The 12,380-nt window shown below is 53.4% G+C and overlaps 1 protein-coding gene across 1 annotated transcript in view, besides 2 other annotated features; it reads left to right on the top strand.

Moving 5' to 3' along the window:
• Positions 5,798–6,017: a silencer, noted in NCBI's record as "silent region_16761". NCBI's record gives its function as "represses an Ori minimal core promoter by ATAC-STARR-seq in GM12878 lymphoblastoid cells {active_cell/tissue: GM12878}" and the evidence as "EXISTENCE:reporter gene assay evidence [ECO:0000049][PMID:35858748]".
• RASGEF1C (RasGEF domain family member 1C) overlaps positions 5,933–12,380 on the top strand; it is a 108,417-nt gene continuing 101,969 nt past the window's right edge. The window contains exon 1 of the mRNA NM_175062.4: positions 5,933–6,116. The gene's annotated coding sequence lies outside the window, so the exon portion shown is untranslated. The remainder of the gene's footprint in view (positions 6,117–12,380) is intronic.
• Positions 7,142–7,934: an enhancer, noted in NCBI's record as "H3K4me1 hESC enhancer chr5:179634210-179635002 (GRCh37/hg19 assembly coordinates)". NCBI's record gives its function as "activates a minimal SCP1, AML or CMV promoter by ChIP-STARR-seq in primed H9 embryonic stem cells {active_cell/tissue: H9 hESC(primed)}" and the evidence as "EXISTENCE:reporter gene assay evidence [ECO:0000049][PMID:30033119]".

The following is a 12,380-nucleotide window of genomic DNA, read 5'->3' as shown; positions in this document are numbered from 1 at the left end:
TTACATCCCCAGCCCTCAGCTACAACCTGACGGCCCCATCGAGTCACAAGTTCCCCCAAGCTTTGGGGTTGAAGACCCTCGGGAGGTGCTTCCCGTGCCTGCAGATTTCACTCTGCTGGACGCTTTCCCCAGGACCCAGGAGGACTCCCCAAACCTAAACCCATGCTCCAGGCCACTTGGGACTGCTCATGCCAGTGATTCAGCAGGTGGGGCCAGGAGTCCCTGCCAGCAGGGGTGCCCAGCCTGCCTCCTCCTGGTGAGGCATGACTGGGTGAGGGGATGATGTCAAGGACTCAGAAGAGCCACAGGCCCCTCTCATTTCCATGCCCTATTATAAACATAGATGGGCATGGCCCAAGGAGAGCCTGGTTACCAGTGCTCCAACACTGCAGGTCACCCCTGGATAAGCCACCTACTGCCTATGGGTGAAGGGACCCTAGCAGGGTGGTAGGGGAGGGAGGTGACCTCGTGGACTTAATGCGGGACCTGGGGGAATCTTGAGTGTTCCGAGGGGTGCACTGCAGCTGGCAAGGTTTGCACCTGCACCACGAGCTCTCCACCTGCGCTCAGCACAGTGAGCAATGGCTCTATGCTGGAACCTTGCAGTGACCACCTCCAGCTCCTGCATTTCTGCCTCTGGAATGTTTCTTAAGCCCCGGAACTCTCCTCAGCCTTCATGCAGCAGCAACCTGAAAGCATAGGAGACGTGGGGGAAATCCTCTGCCCAGCAGGAGAAATTCCGAGATGCTTCCTGCAGTTCCCCAAAGGGGCTCCACCAGGCTGGTCACCTGGGATCCCCCCCCCACATAAACAACCTGCACCCACATCTCTACCTCTGCTCCCAGGGGATCCCATCTGTGATGCTTTCCTTCATCTTTGGGCCAGTCCAGATTGGGATCAGACCCACACTTACCCTCCACACACGTGCATACGACACGTGCATACAACACACACATGCACACAGCACACCATATGCACACAGCACCACATATATGCACACAGCACACACACACATGCACAAACCGCCCACACATGAATACAGCACACACATGCATATAGCACACACATGCACAGCACACCACATGCATACGCTACACACACATGCACACAACACACACATGCACACAGCACATGCATGCACACAGCATAAAACATACACCACACACATGCACACAGCACACAGGCACACAGCATAAAACATACACCACACACATGCATACACCACACACATGCACACAGCACATAGGCACACAGTACCACACATACAGCACACCCACATGCACACAGCACACACATGCACAGCACCACACACATGCATAGAGCACAAGAATGCACATGGCACCACACACATAGGCAGAGCACACATGCACACAACACATACATACACCACGCACATGCACACAACATACATACATGCACGCAGCACCAACATGCACACAGCACACACACATGTGCATAGCAGACAACACACACATGCATATACCACACACTCATGCACACAGCATCACATATATACACACACGTGCACAAAACAGCGCTACATACACAAGCATACAACACACACACATTACACACATGTGCTGCATACACATGCATAGAACACACCACACATTCACACAAGTGCACATACACATACTGCATATACCATGCATGCACACATGTGCAAATCCATATACACACACACACCCTCTCTCTTGCTCCTCCCAGCCCAGGCTCAGTGGGTTGGCAGCCCTGGACTGTAAAGGATCATTAAATGTGGCCCCCTCCCGTGGCTGACTATAGGATGACTTCTCCTGGAGCTCTGCCCTTGCAGTAACTTTGGAGGGTTTTCACCAGACCAAGAATGGACGAGTTACGGGTCGGCTAATAAAATGCTTTGGCCAGAGCCCAAAGTTCTGTCCTCAGTGTTTCCTGATTTTATTGGTGAACTTGCTCAGCAGCCTTGCCCGGTGCCCCTTCCCTGAGTCACGTGCTGTGGCTGTGCCAAGCATCCCGGGCAGACGTACTGCAGGGCCTCACAGGCTCCTGCTCTGCGTAAGCGCCTGCAGCTGCTGGAGCCCGTGCTGTCCTTCCTTCCTCCCTGAGGACCCGCACCAGGCAGGCACCCGCAGGCCCCGCTGCCTCCAGACCTCCTCCACATGCCCCTGGCCCCACAGTCCCAGCAGGTGCTGTCTGCTGTGAAGGGGCTCCTCGCCCTCCTGGGAAAGGTACCCCATTCATCCTGCCAGGACCCCTGCCATCGCTGTCACTTCTCACACATTCTCCTATCTCCCATCATCCAGTCCTGTGGCTTCTCCCCCAGAAACAGCCCTCAGGTCTGCCCCATTCCCTGCCCCCTGCCCAGGTCTGTACTCATCAGCTCTCCCCTGCCTGCCAACTCCTCGTGGGCCTGCTGCCTGTCCCTCGTGGCCACACCCAGTGAACAAGGACTCCAGCCCCACTAACCCAGTGCTGCGTTGGTGGGGCACACTCAGGTCTCCCAGAGTCACACGTGTGCAGGATGTGCCATCCAGGCCAGGGGCAGCTACGCAGGGGCTGAAGGTGCTGGGAAAGGCCTCATGGGTGTCAGGACCCCTACATCTGGGGACAGCACCACCCCCTCCTGCTGGGGGTGCTGCTGGCAGAGCTGCAGCCACACCTGCCCCTGTGTCGACACCCAGAGGACAGGATCCAGCTCCTTGCCCACCTGGACACCCTGCCTGGCCCTGTTCCCTTCCACCTTGGCTCCAGCCTCTTTTTTGCAAAAACAATGCAAAGTCCATGCCAGCCACAGGGCCTCGCCCTTGCTATTCTCTCTGCCCACGGTGCTTTTCCCAGACCCTGTATGGCCAGTGCCTTGTCTGATGTGCCTGGAGAGGCCCTTCCTGGGCCCTCCCTTCTAAAGCAGCCCCACCGCACTCAACCACCTCCCCAGTATGGCTTCCTTCATGGCGCTCGGCGCTCTCCGAAATGATTGTTTTTACTCTTTTGTTTGTATGGTTAGTTTTCAGCCTCCCTTCTCTAAACCATGAGTTCCAGGGGGCAGGAACCCCATGTCGGGCTCTCTGCTATATTCCCAGCACCCAGCATGGTGCCCGGCACACATAGGCCCTAGGTAAGTGTCCACCCAATAGATGTCTCAGGGCAGTGGTGGGGTGAGGGGAGACTGAGTTGACGGCCCTAGGGATGGCTCACCCTCTGTCCCAATGCCCTCACTCAGGGATTAGCCCCGGGGCACGTTCTGGAGTGAGAAGTTGGGTGGGCAGGGTAGGGGCTGGGCAGGAGAGGTTCCTTGCTAGAGGGCACTCCTGGGTGGGCTATGAGGGGGCGGGAGCAGATACCTCCCAGGGCCCAGTGGTGGCACCTGCAGCCAGGGTCCCACAAAGCTGGAGGCTCAGGGCAGAACTCCACGCTGGCCGCGAGGCTCAAAAACCTTCCTGGTGTTGCATGAGCCGCGACTGCAGCTCATGCGTCTTCCTCAGCACAGGCCCAACTCTCGGCAGCGATGGGTCTGGCAGGGAGAGGACGCAGGAGACCTCAGGGGACACGGTCTTCTCCTTTGTCCCAGAGCAAAGCTCTGCCACCCTCACCCCTGTGGGACACGGAGCTGTGGCCATGAGCTAGTCCACACCCATGTTCCAGTTGCCCTGGCCTCATCCAAGCATCCCCTACCCTGCTCCCAGCAGGGCAATCATGCTTCAGTGGCCCCAGCCACTTGCTGGAGAAAGTTCTTTATCAGGGGACAGCAGCCTTTGCTCACAGAGCAAGGGTGAGCTGGGGAAAGACTGGCCTCACCACCCTGACCTGCACTTGGTTAGGAGGGCCGCTCAGTGCTGCCCAGACCCCAGAACAACACAGCTGAGTGGGTCAGCTCTTCTGAGGTGCCTCTTGCGGCCTCTCCTCCTAGACTCCTGGCTTCCTCCAGGCGACACCCTGGGACTGGACCTGAGGCTTAGGGGCATAGGGTGATAATCGGAGAAGATGCAGGGAGGGCCCAGTGCCTGCACCCTGAGGCGCATCTGTCTATCTGCTGGGAGCACACTGCTCACCCCTGACCAAGTGCCTGCCTCTGTTCCTCCTCCCTTTCCCCACACCTGACCCTTGGTCTCAGATGTCACCCTCCCTAGGGCCAGCCTCTGGCCCTGGCCCTGGCCCCAGCCCTGCTGTCTCCCTGCCTAGCTACCTGGCCCACATTCATTCTAATACATCTGTATGCCCTAGGCAGCTGCCTGCTCTCTCCAGGACTCAGTTTCCCTAACTGTTCAAGAAATGGGCTGGACTGTTGTTCTTAACCTGTCCATTCTTCCAGGAACAGCCTTCACGGAAGCTTGGAACAGCACCTTACTCCATCCTCAAAGCTGACACAGGACTAACTCTGCCTCAGCTCTAGTGAGACGACACCCAGGCCTGCTATTCCTGCTCCCTAGGTCTTTGGAAATGGCCTGAGCTCAGCTCCTCGGAGCCTGTGTGTGGCAGCCGCAGGCTGTCCTTGCAACTATCAGGCAGCTGTGCCCTCTCTGAGGTGTCAACCCAGGGCCATTCTGCCACAGAAAGACTGGGAGATAGGGGAGGCCAGTTTCTATGCACATAGGTTAAGTACCTGGATCTAGCCATTCCTCTAAGCAGTAAACCTTGGCTTTTTATGATCCACAAACCAGCTTTTTGCTCAAGCTGGTTGGGTTGAGTTTTGGGCCACATCTCATCAGGCAGGTCCTGACTAAAGCAGAGTGAGGTGAAGGCAGCTGGAACTTCCGTGTCGGGTGGGGACTTGGAGAACTTTTCTGGCTAGCTAGAGGATTGTAAATGCACCAATCAGCACTCTGTAAAAACGCACCAATCAGCACTCCGTGAAACGGACCAATCAGCAGGACATGGGTGGGGACAAATAAGGGAATAAAAGCTGCCCGCCCACCCCTCGCCAGCCAGCAACAGCGGCGACCGGCTGTGGTCTTTTTCCCTGCTGTGGAAGCTTTGTTCTCTTGCTCTTCACAAGACATTTTGCTGCTACGCACTCTTTGGGTCTGCACCACCTTTTTCTTTTCTTTTCTTTTTTTTTTTTTTTGAGATGGAGTCTTGCTCTGTCGCCCAGGCTACAGTGCAGTGGTGCAATCTCTGCTCACTGCAAGCTCCACCTCCCCGGGTTCACGCCCTTCTCCTGCCTCAGCCTCCCGAATAGCTGGGACCACAAGCGCCCACCACCAAACCTGGCTAATTTTTTTGTATTTTTAGTACAGACAGGGTTTCACCGTCGCACCACCTTTAAGAGCTGTAACACTCACTGCCAAGGTCCCTGGCTCATTCTTGAAGTCAGCCAGACCAGGAACCCAGCGGAAGGGACAAACTGCGGACACAGGAGGACAGGTGTCCTGACCTCTATGCTGGGACCAACCAGGGAACTTTTCACTGAAGACCCAGTTCAAGGAGGCCACTGGATCCTGTTAGAGCCCCTCTCCCTTTCTAAAAGTGAAATCATGCATCGCCATCCTCCCAGAACCCCGGTGTCTTCAAAGTGGTGTCCACCCTCCCTGGGGGCCACGGGAGAGCGCCGAGAAGGTTGGGGAGGGGGGGTGTCCACCCAGGGATGTCCCATTGGGGGACACAGACAACCTAGGTGGCCAGTCCAGAGAACCGGGCCGGGCCCAGTCTTGAGGAGAGAGGGTGAACTGGGTTTTGGGGCGCCAGAGGCCCACCAGGTGAGGTGTAGGCTGGGGCAGCTGGGGCGCAGAGTCCGCCAGGGTCCGCGCGCGGGAGGGCAGCGTCTGACGGCCCGAGCGGGTGGTCCTGGCGCGGGGGGCCAGCCGCCGCGGAGGCCTGAACGCAGGGCGGGACGCTTGGCTCCGCGGCCGGGGCACGGAGGGCCCTGGTGTGCAGCGCCGCCCGCGGGCTCCCGCAGCTCCACCCCCGCGCCCCGCCCGCTCCGCGCTGCCTGAGTGCCACGAGGGGGCGCAGCGCCGCGTTGCTCCGGGGCCGCCGCCAGGCGCTCGTGCGGGCTGCGCTGGGAGCCGGGCGGTCGGGCGGCGGCGGCGGCGGCGGCGGCGGCGGCGGCGGCGGCGGGCGGCGCCCCGGTCCGCGGCGCCGAGGCTCGCACCGGGAGCTGCCCATGGGCCGGGCCCGGAGTTCCGGCGCGCCGGGAGCCGGTGAGTGGTGCGCGGCCGAGGGACACCTGGCGGTGCGGGCAAGGGCGCGGGCTCGCGGGGGCTGGGGAGGGCTGCCGGCGGCGCGGCGGGGTCGGCGGGAGGCGGGAGGCTGCGCGCGGCGCGGGAGCGTGCGCCGGGGTCAGCAGGGGCGGGGTCCGCGCGGCCGCCGGGACTGGAGGCGCGGGGGTAGCGGGTAGGGTACCCTGAGGGCACACCCCCGGCCACCTGGCGGGAGACCCAGCTCTGCCGCGCGCCGCCAGCCCCTGCTGGGCGCGAGGAGCAAGCTTCTTTCAGCCGCTAGAGTGGCAGGAAGAGCCAGCCTAGACCAAAGCCTCCACCCGCACCGGACCTCAGTTTCCCCGTCTATGAAATGGGGACGGGAAAGCAGACCTGCCGGTGCACGTGCAGAAGGGAAAGGGCCTTGCGCCTGGGGGAAGAGGGTGCTGTCACCCTTGAGGATGGGATCGGATTTGAGGAAAGGACCAGCGCCACTATCAGAGGGCCTGCGAGAACAGTGGGGTCTGCTGGGAGTCCTGGGTGTGTCCCTCACGCAGTGACAGCGGACGGCATCAAGGGACCACCTGGTCCACTCATTGTATTTAGATTGGGAAAGCGATGCTTGGGGGGACTTGGGGAAGGGTGCTGGCGACGCCGCCCCATGCTCAGCGTGGGCGTGGGAAACTGTGGGAAAGACAGAGCTGGGAAGTTGGGGTGCTGGTGGAGCTCTTCCGGGCCCGTATCTCCTGCCTCCTGGGGCTGTGGGAGAGACAGAAGTTCTGAGCCCCGGGAGCCTGAGAAGAGTCCTGGGAAGCTCTGCCTGCCAGGCAGGTGGAGTAACTGAGGTTTAGAGAGGGGCGGGACCATGGAGTGGCAACGCTGGGGTCCCACCTCTGGTAAGACTGGCTCCAACAGCCATAGTGCAGCCACTGTGCAGGCGACCGGTGGAGGGGGGCTAGGGTTGTCCACTCACTGGCCACATTCATTGAGCGCCTACTGTGTGCCGCCTGCTGCCTGCCCCCGTAAGTGCTCACTAGCTGGTGTGGGAGGGGACACCAAACAAGAAATCAAAGGCAAAAGCAAGGACATGGCCAAGATCTTATGCGTGCTGGGAAGAACATGCAGTAGGGTGACTGGGGCAGAGGGAGACCAGGGCGCGGCGGAGCCTTCGTCTGGTCAGGGAGGCTGTCCTGAGCGGGGAGCCCAGCCTGTGATGGACGGGTAGCCCGGGGGAACAGCGCGGGTGAGATCCCTGAGGGCAGGAGGGGGCGGAGCTGGAGCTGAGACGCTACAGGGTCTGGACGTCCTGGGCAGCCCCCAGGCGGTTTGCAGGTTGGGCGTCGAAAGGCTGCCCGTGGCGGCGGGTGGGCGCACTGCCGGGGCAGGAGAGGGAGGGCAGGCGAGAGAGGGACGGGCTGCGGAGCCCAGGGCGGGACTGGCGAGGGGGAGCCCGCAGGCCACCAGGTAGAGGTGGGGCCCTGCCCGGGACCTGGCCCTTTTCAGGCCGGGGTCTGCACCCTCCTGCCATGTCCCCGCCAGTCTCTGAGGTGGTTCCAGCTCTCACTTGTACCTGGACCCAGATCCAGAGTCAGCCATTTGTCCAAGGGGCCTTGGTTCCTTGCGTGGGACCCGGGCTTAGTGTGGGGCGTGCACTCGCCGCCTCTAGGCCTTGTCAGTGGACCAAGCCAAGGCCCCTTTTTTACTAAAAATTAATATTTCCTTTCCCTTTCTCCTGCAGTGAGAACCTTATTCCCCCAAACATGAATATATTTCATCATTTACTTAGCTCCACAATGCACCCCGAAAGAGTTTCAGAATGACTGCATCCACACCGAAGCCAACCAAAACCTGCTAGGTCAGCATCGGGATTTCCACGGGTGTGCAGGCAGAGTGCTGTGTGGTGACGTTATCAGTCGGACACACTGTTAGCTTCGTGTGTTTCTACTTGCATTCAATTTGGAGCTTTTTTTCCTTTAGACTTTAGGATGTAATTTTATTTTTTGAATACGTAAAACACATGGTTTAAAGGTCAGAACTATTAAAAAGCTATCCTTAAAGGTCTCAGTCCCACCCCTGCATCTTCTTCCTTGTTCCCACACCATTGGGAGCCATTTAAAATATTTTCTGGTTTATCCTTCCTGTGTCTCTTTCTGCAAAACAAGTCATTTAAGCATTATCACAAAAGTTAGCCGTACAGCTCCTGGTTTTTCTTCAGTTAGAAGTATGTCCTGAAAGTAACTTCTTACCAGTTCATGGAGACCTGGCTCATTCTTTTTTACACTCACATAGTATTTCGTTCTGTGGCTGTACTATTATTGTTTATTCAAATTATGTCCTCTGGATGAACAATTTTGTTTTTTTCCAAGTCTTTTTAAATTTAAAATAATGGAGTAATGGATAACTTTGCACCTATATTGTTAATGTTTGCAAAGGTGTATATTTAGAACACACTTCTAGAAGTAGGAGTGAATGTGGATTTATTTTGTTAGCTAGTCCCAAATTCCTTGTCAAGAGGTAGCACCGTTTTGCATTCCCACCACCGATGTATCACAGTGTCTTCTGTTTCCCCACAGCCTCGCTGGTTTGAGAGCTGAGAAACAGTATTTCAGTGTATTTTAAATTTATATTTCTATTATTATAAATGAAATTGGACATCTTTTCACATAGATTTGGAATCATACTTAGACTTTTCTAACTATGAAAAGCCCAATTATAAAGCAATCATCTGTGTTTTCTAATATTTGTTTAGTTGTGTACTTAGTCTCTGCATCCAATTTAATCTTTTTCTAAGTGTCTGGCACTCTGTCCCAAAGCCATTTATTTAAAAGGTCATCTTTCCTCCAGTGATCTGAAATGCACCTTTCTCATACACTAAAAATCCAAGCCCTGGGCCTGTTTCTGGGCTTTCTAGTGTGTCTCACAGGTCTGTCTGTTCCATCTGTTCACATACTGGTGAAAGAGAGAGAGAGAGAAAAAATATATTTAAAGGCAAGGAGGGCCTGGCACAGTGGCTCACGCCTGTAATCCCAGCACTTGGGAAGGCTGAGGCAGGCAGATCACTTGAGGTCAGGAGTTTGAAACCAGCCTGGCCAACATGGTGAAACCTTGTCTCTACCAAAATATATAAAAAATTACCCGGGAATGGTGGCACATGCCTGTAATCCCAGCTACTTGGGAGGCTGAGGCATGAGAATCGCCTGAACCTGGGAGGCAGATTTTGCAGTGAGCTGAGCTGAGATTGTACCCCTGCACTCCAGCCTGGGCAACAGAGTGAGACTCTGTCTCAAAATAATAATAATAATAATAATAATAATATTATAATAATGGCAAAGAGGACTTTATTCAAGACCATTGCAATAGAGGAGAGAGATTGGGCTCAACTCTCCTTGTTGTGTTTTAACATGTGGTGGGCAAGTTCCTTCCATCGCTTTTTACTGCAAGGATTTCCTGGCTGTTGCAGCACGTTGCTGCTGTTCGGGCGGGGAAGGAGAGCGTATTAAGTTTATATTAGGCTTGTATATTAACTTTAGGATAATTGGCATCTTTATGAAGTTGAGTTATCTTATCCAAAACTGAGAGATGTCTTTCTGTTTGTCAAGACTACTTCTAGGAGTGTTTTGAAATTTTCCTCATATATGTTTTTCCTATTTCTTATGAAGTTTATTCATGAGTATTTTTATCTTGTGTGTTGCTACTATAAATGGTTTTTTCTTCAATTATATCTTTGAATTGGCTACTGTTTCGTGTATGTTATTTTATATCTTTCTGTCTTACCTGAATTTTTATTGTTAGTTTTATTGTTAGTCTTTTTTTTTGTTTTTATTTATTTATTTATTTATTTTGAGACGGAGTCTCGCTCTGTCACCCAGGCTGGAATGCAGTAGCGTGATCTCTGCTCACCACAACCTCCACCTTCCAGGTTCAAGTGATTCTCGTGCCTTAGCTTCCCAGGTAGCTAAGATTACAGGTGCCTGCCACCACGTCAGGCTAATTTTTGTATTTTTAGTAGAGACGGGGTTTTGCCATCTTGGCCAGGCTGATCTCGAACTCCTGACTTCAGATGATCTGCCATCTCAGCCTCCCAAAGTGCTGGGATTACAGGCATGAGCCACCATTACCGGCCTGTTGTTAGTCATATCTTTGATTCTGTTAGTCATTCTGTCATCTACAAATTCAAATAGCTTTACTGCTTCTCTACTGATTTTTATGCTTTCTTTTATCTAATTAAATTGGCTGAATACCTCCAATTCAGTATTAAATATTGGATGTGGTGGGCCTCCTTACCTTGTTCCTGACCTTAGTAAAAAGGCCTCTAATACTTCCCCTATTAAGAAAGATGCTGACTTTAGGATGGGAAGAGATAGATAGATGAGATAGATAGATAGATAGATAGATAGATAGATAGATAGATAGAGGAATATCCATTGACTCCTATTTTATTGGCAGTTTTAAAAATCAGGATTGGTGTTGACCTTTGTTAGAGCCATGTATGTAGATAATGATCTGATATTTCTCCTGATTACTAGTAGCATAATGAGTCATGTGATGGATTTCCCAATATCAGGTCTGGGACTAGGCTGAGGTAAACAGACACAAAACGTATGAATATTAACACTAGGCCATCTTTGCATTTCTGAAATAAGTCCCACTTGGACATGATGTAGAAAATAGTTTGGCAGTTTCTTTAAAATTTAAACATAAAAATACCATATGACCCAACAGTCCCACTCCCAGGAATCTAAGAGAAATGAAAACAATGAAATGTCCACACAAAGACTTGTACACAAATGCTCATAACAGCATTGCTTATAATGGCCAGAAAAGTAGAGACAACGCAGTTGTTCATCAACTGGTGAATAAATAAACAAGATATATATCCGTACGATGGAATATAGTTTAGCAATTACAGTTGGCCCTTGAACAATGAGAAGGTTAGGGATGCTGACCCCCACACAGTCAAAAAGCTATGTATAACTTTTGTCTTCCCCCAGATTTCACTTTGTTGTTGTTGTTGTTGTTGTTTGTTTGTTTGTTTTTTGAGACAGAGTCTCACTCTGTCGCCCAGGCTAGAGTGCAGTGGCATGATCTCGGCTCACTCCAACCTCTGCCTCCCAGGTTCAAGCGACTCTCCTGCCTCAGCCTCCCAAGTGGCTGGGATTACAGGCGTGCACCACCATGCCCGGTTAAGTTATATTTTTGGTAGAGATGGGGTTTCATCATGTTGGCCAGGCTGGTCTCGAACTCCTGGCCTCAAGTGATCCTCCCACCTTGGCTTCCCAAAGTGCTGGGATTACAGGCGTGAGCCACCGCGCCCAGCCTGTAGTATGTTTCAATATCATTGTATTAGTTATCTATTGCTGTGTACTAAGTTATCATTGACCTAGTGGCTTAAAGCAACGCATGGCTTATTAGCTCATCATTTCTGTGAATCAAGAGCCTGGGCATGGCTTAGCTGAGTACTGCTGGTGGCCAGCACTAGGTTCTCATGTAGAGACTCAGCTAGGGAAGGATTTGCTTCTCCACTCATGTGGTTGTTGGCAGTATTTAGTTCTTTGTAGTTATATTTAGAGCTTAAAATTTTGGCTGGATGTTGGCTGGAGGCCAACCTCAACTTGTTAGGGTCACCCCCAGTTCCTCGGGACTACCCACAGGTCTTTGTCACATGGGCTTCCCCAGCATGACTGCTTACTCTATCAAGCCAGCAAAGAGTCCCTAGAGAGTCATAACATAACAAAACATAACATAGTATAACGTGACATACATGATATAACAACGTAACATAATCCCAGTAGTGATATCCTATCATCTTTGCCATAGTCTGTTGGTCAGAGGAAAGTCAAAAGCCCCACCCAGTCCCAAATGTATGAACACCAAGAGGTAGAGCTCATGCCGGTGAGCACCATAGAAACTGCCTGTTGGATGTTGGATTCTGATTACTAATATTTATTTTTGCCAAAGTTTTCCCAGTCACCCTTTGACTGGACAAAGCTTAGCTTCTGTTGGTTCCTTAAGAAAGACTTGTGAGTACTGGCCAGGCGCGGTGGCTCACACCTGTCATCCCAGCACTTTGGGAGGCCGAGGCGGGTGCATCACGAGGTCAGGAGATCGAGACCATCCTGGCTAACACGGTGAAACCCCGTCTCTACTAAAAATACAAAAAATTAGCCCGGCGTGGTGGCGGGCACCTGTAATCCCAGCTAGTCGGGAGGCTGAGGCAGGAGAATGGCGTGAACCCGGGAGGCGGAGCTTGCAGTGAGCCGAGATTGT

This window comes from Homo sapiens, chromosome 5 (assembly GCF_000001405.40).
Source record: "Homo sapiens chromosome 5, GRCh38.p14 Primary Assembly".
Classification (NCBI taxonomy): Eukaryota; Metazoa; Chordata; class Mammalia; order Primates; family Hominidae; genus Homo; species Homo sapiens.
This window is presented reverse-complemented; position numbering and strand designations above follow the sequence as displayed.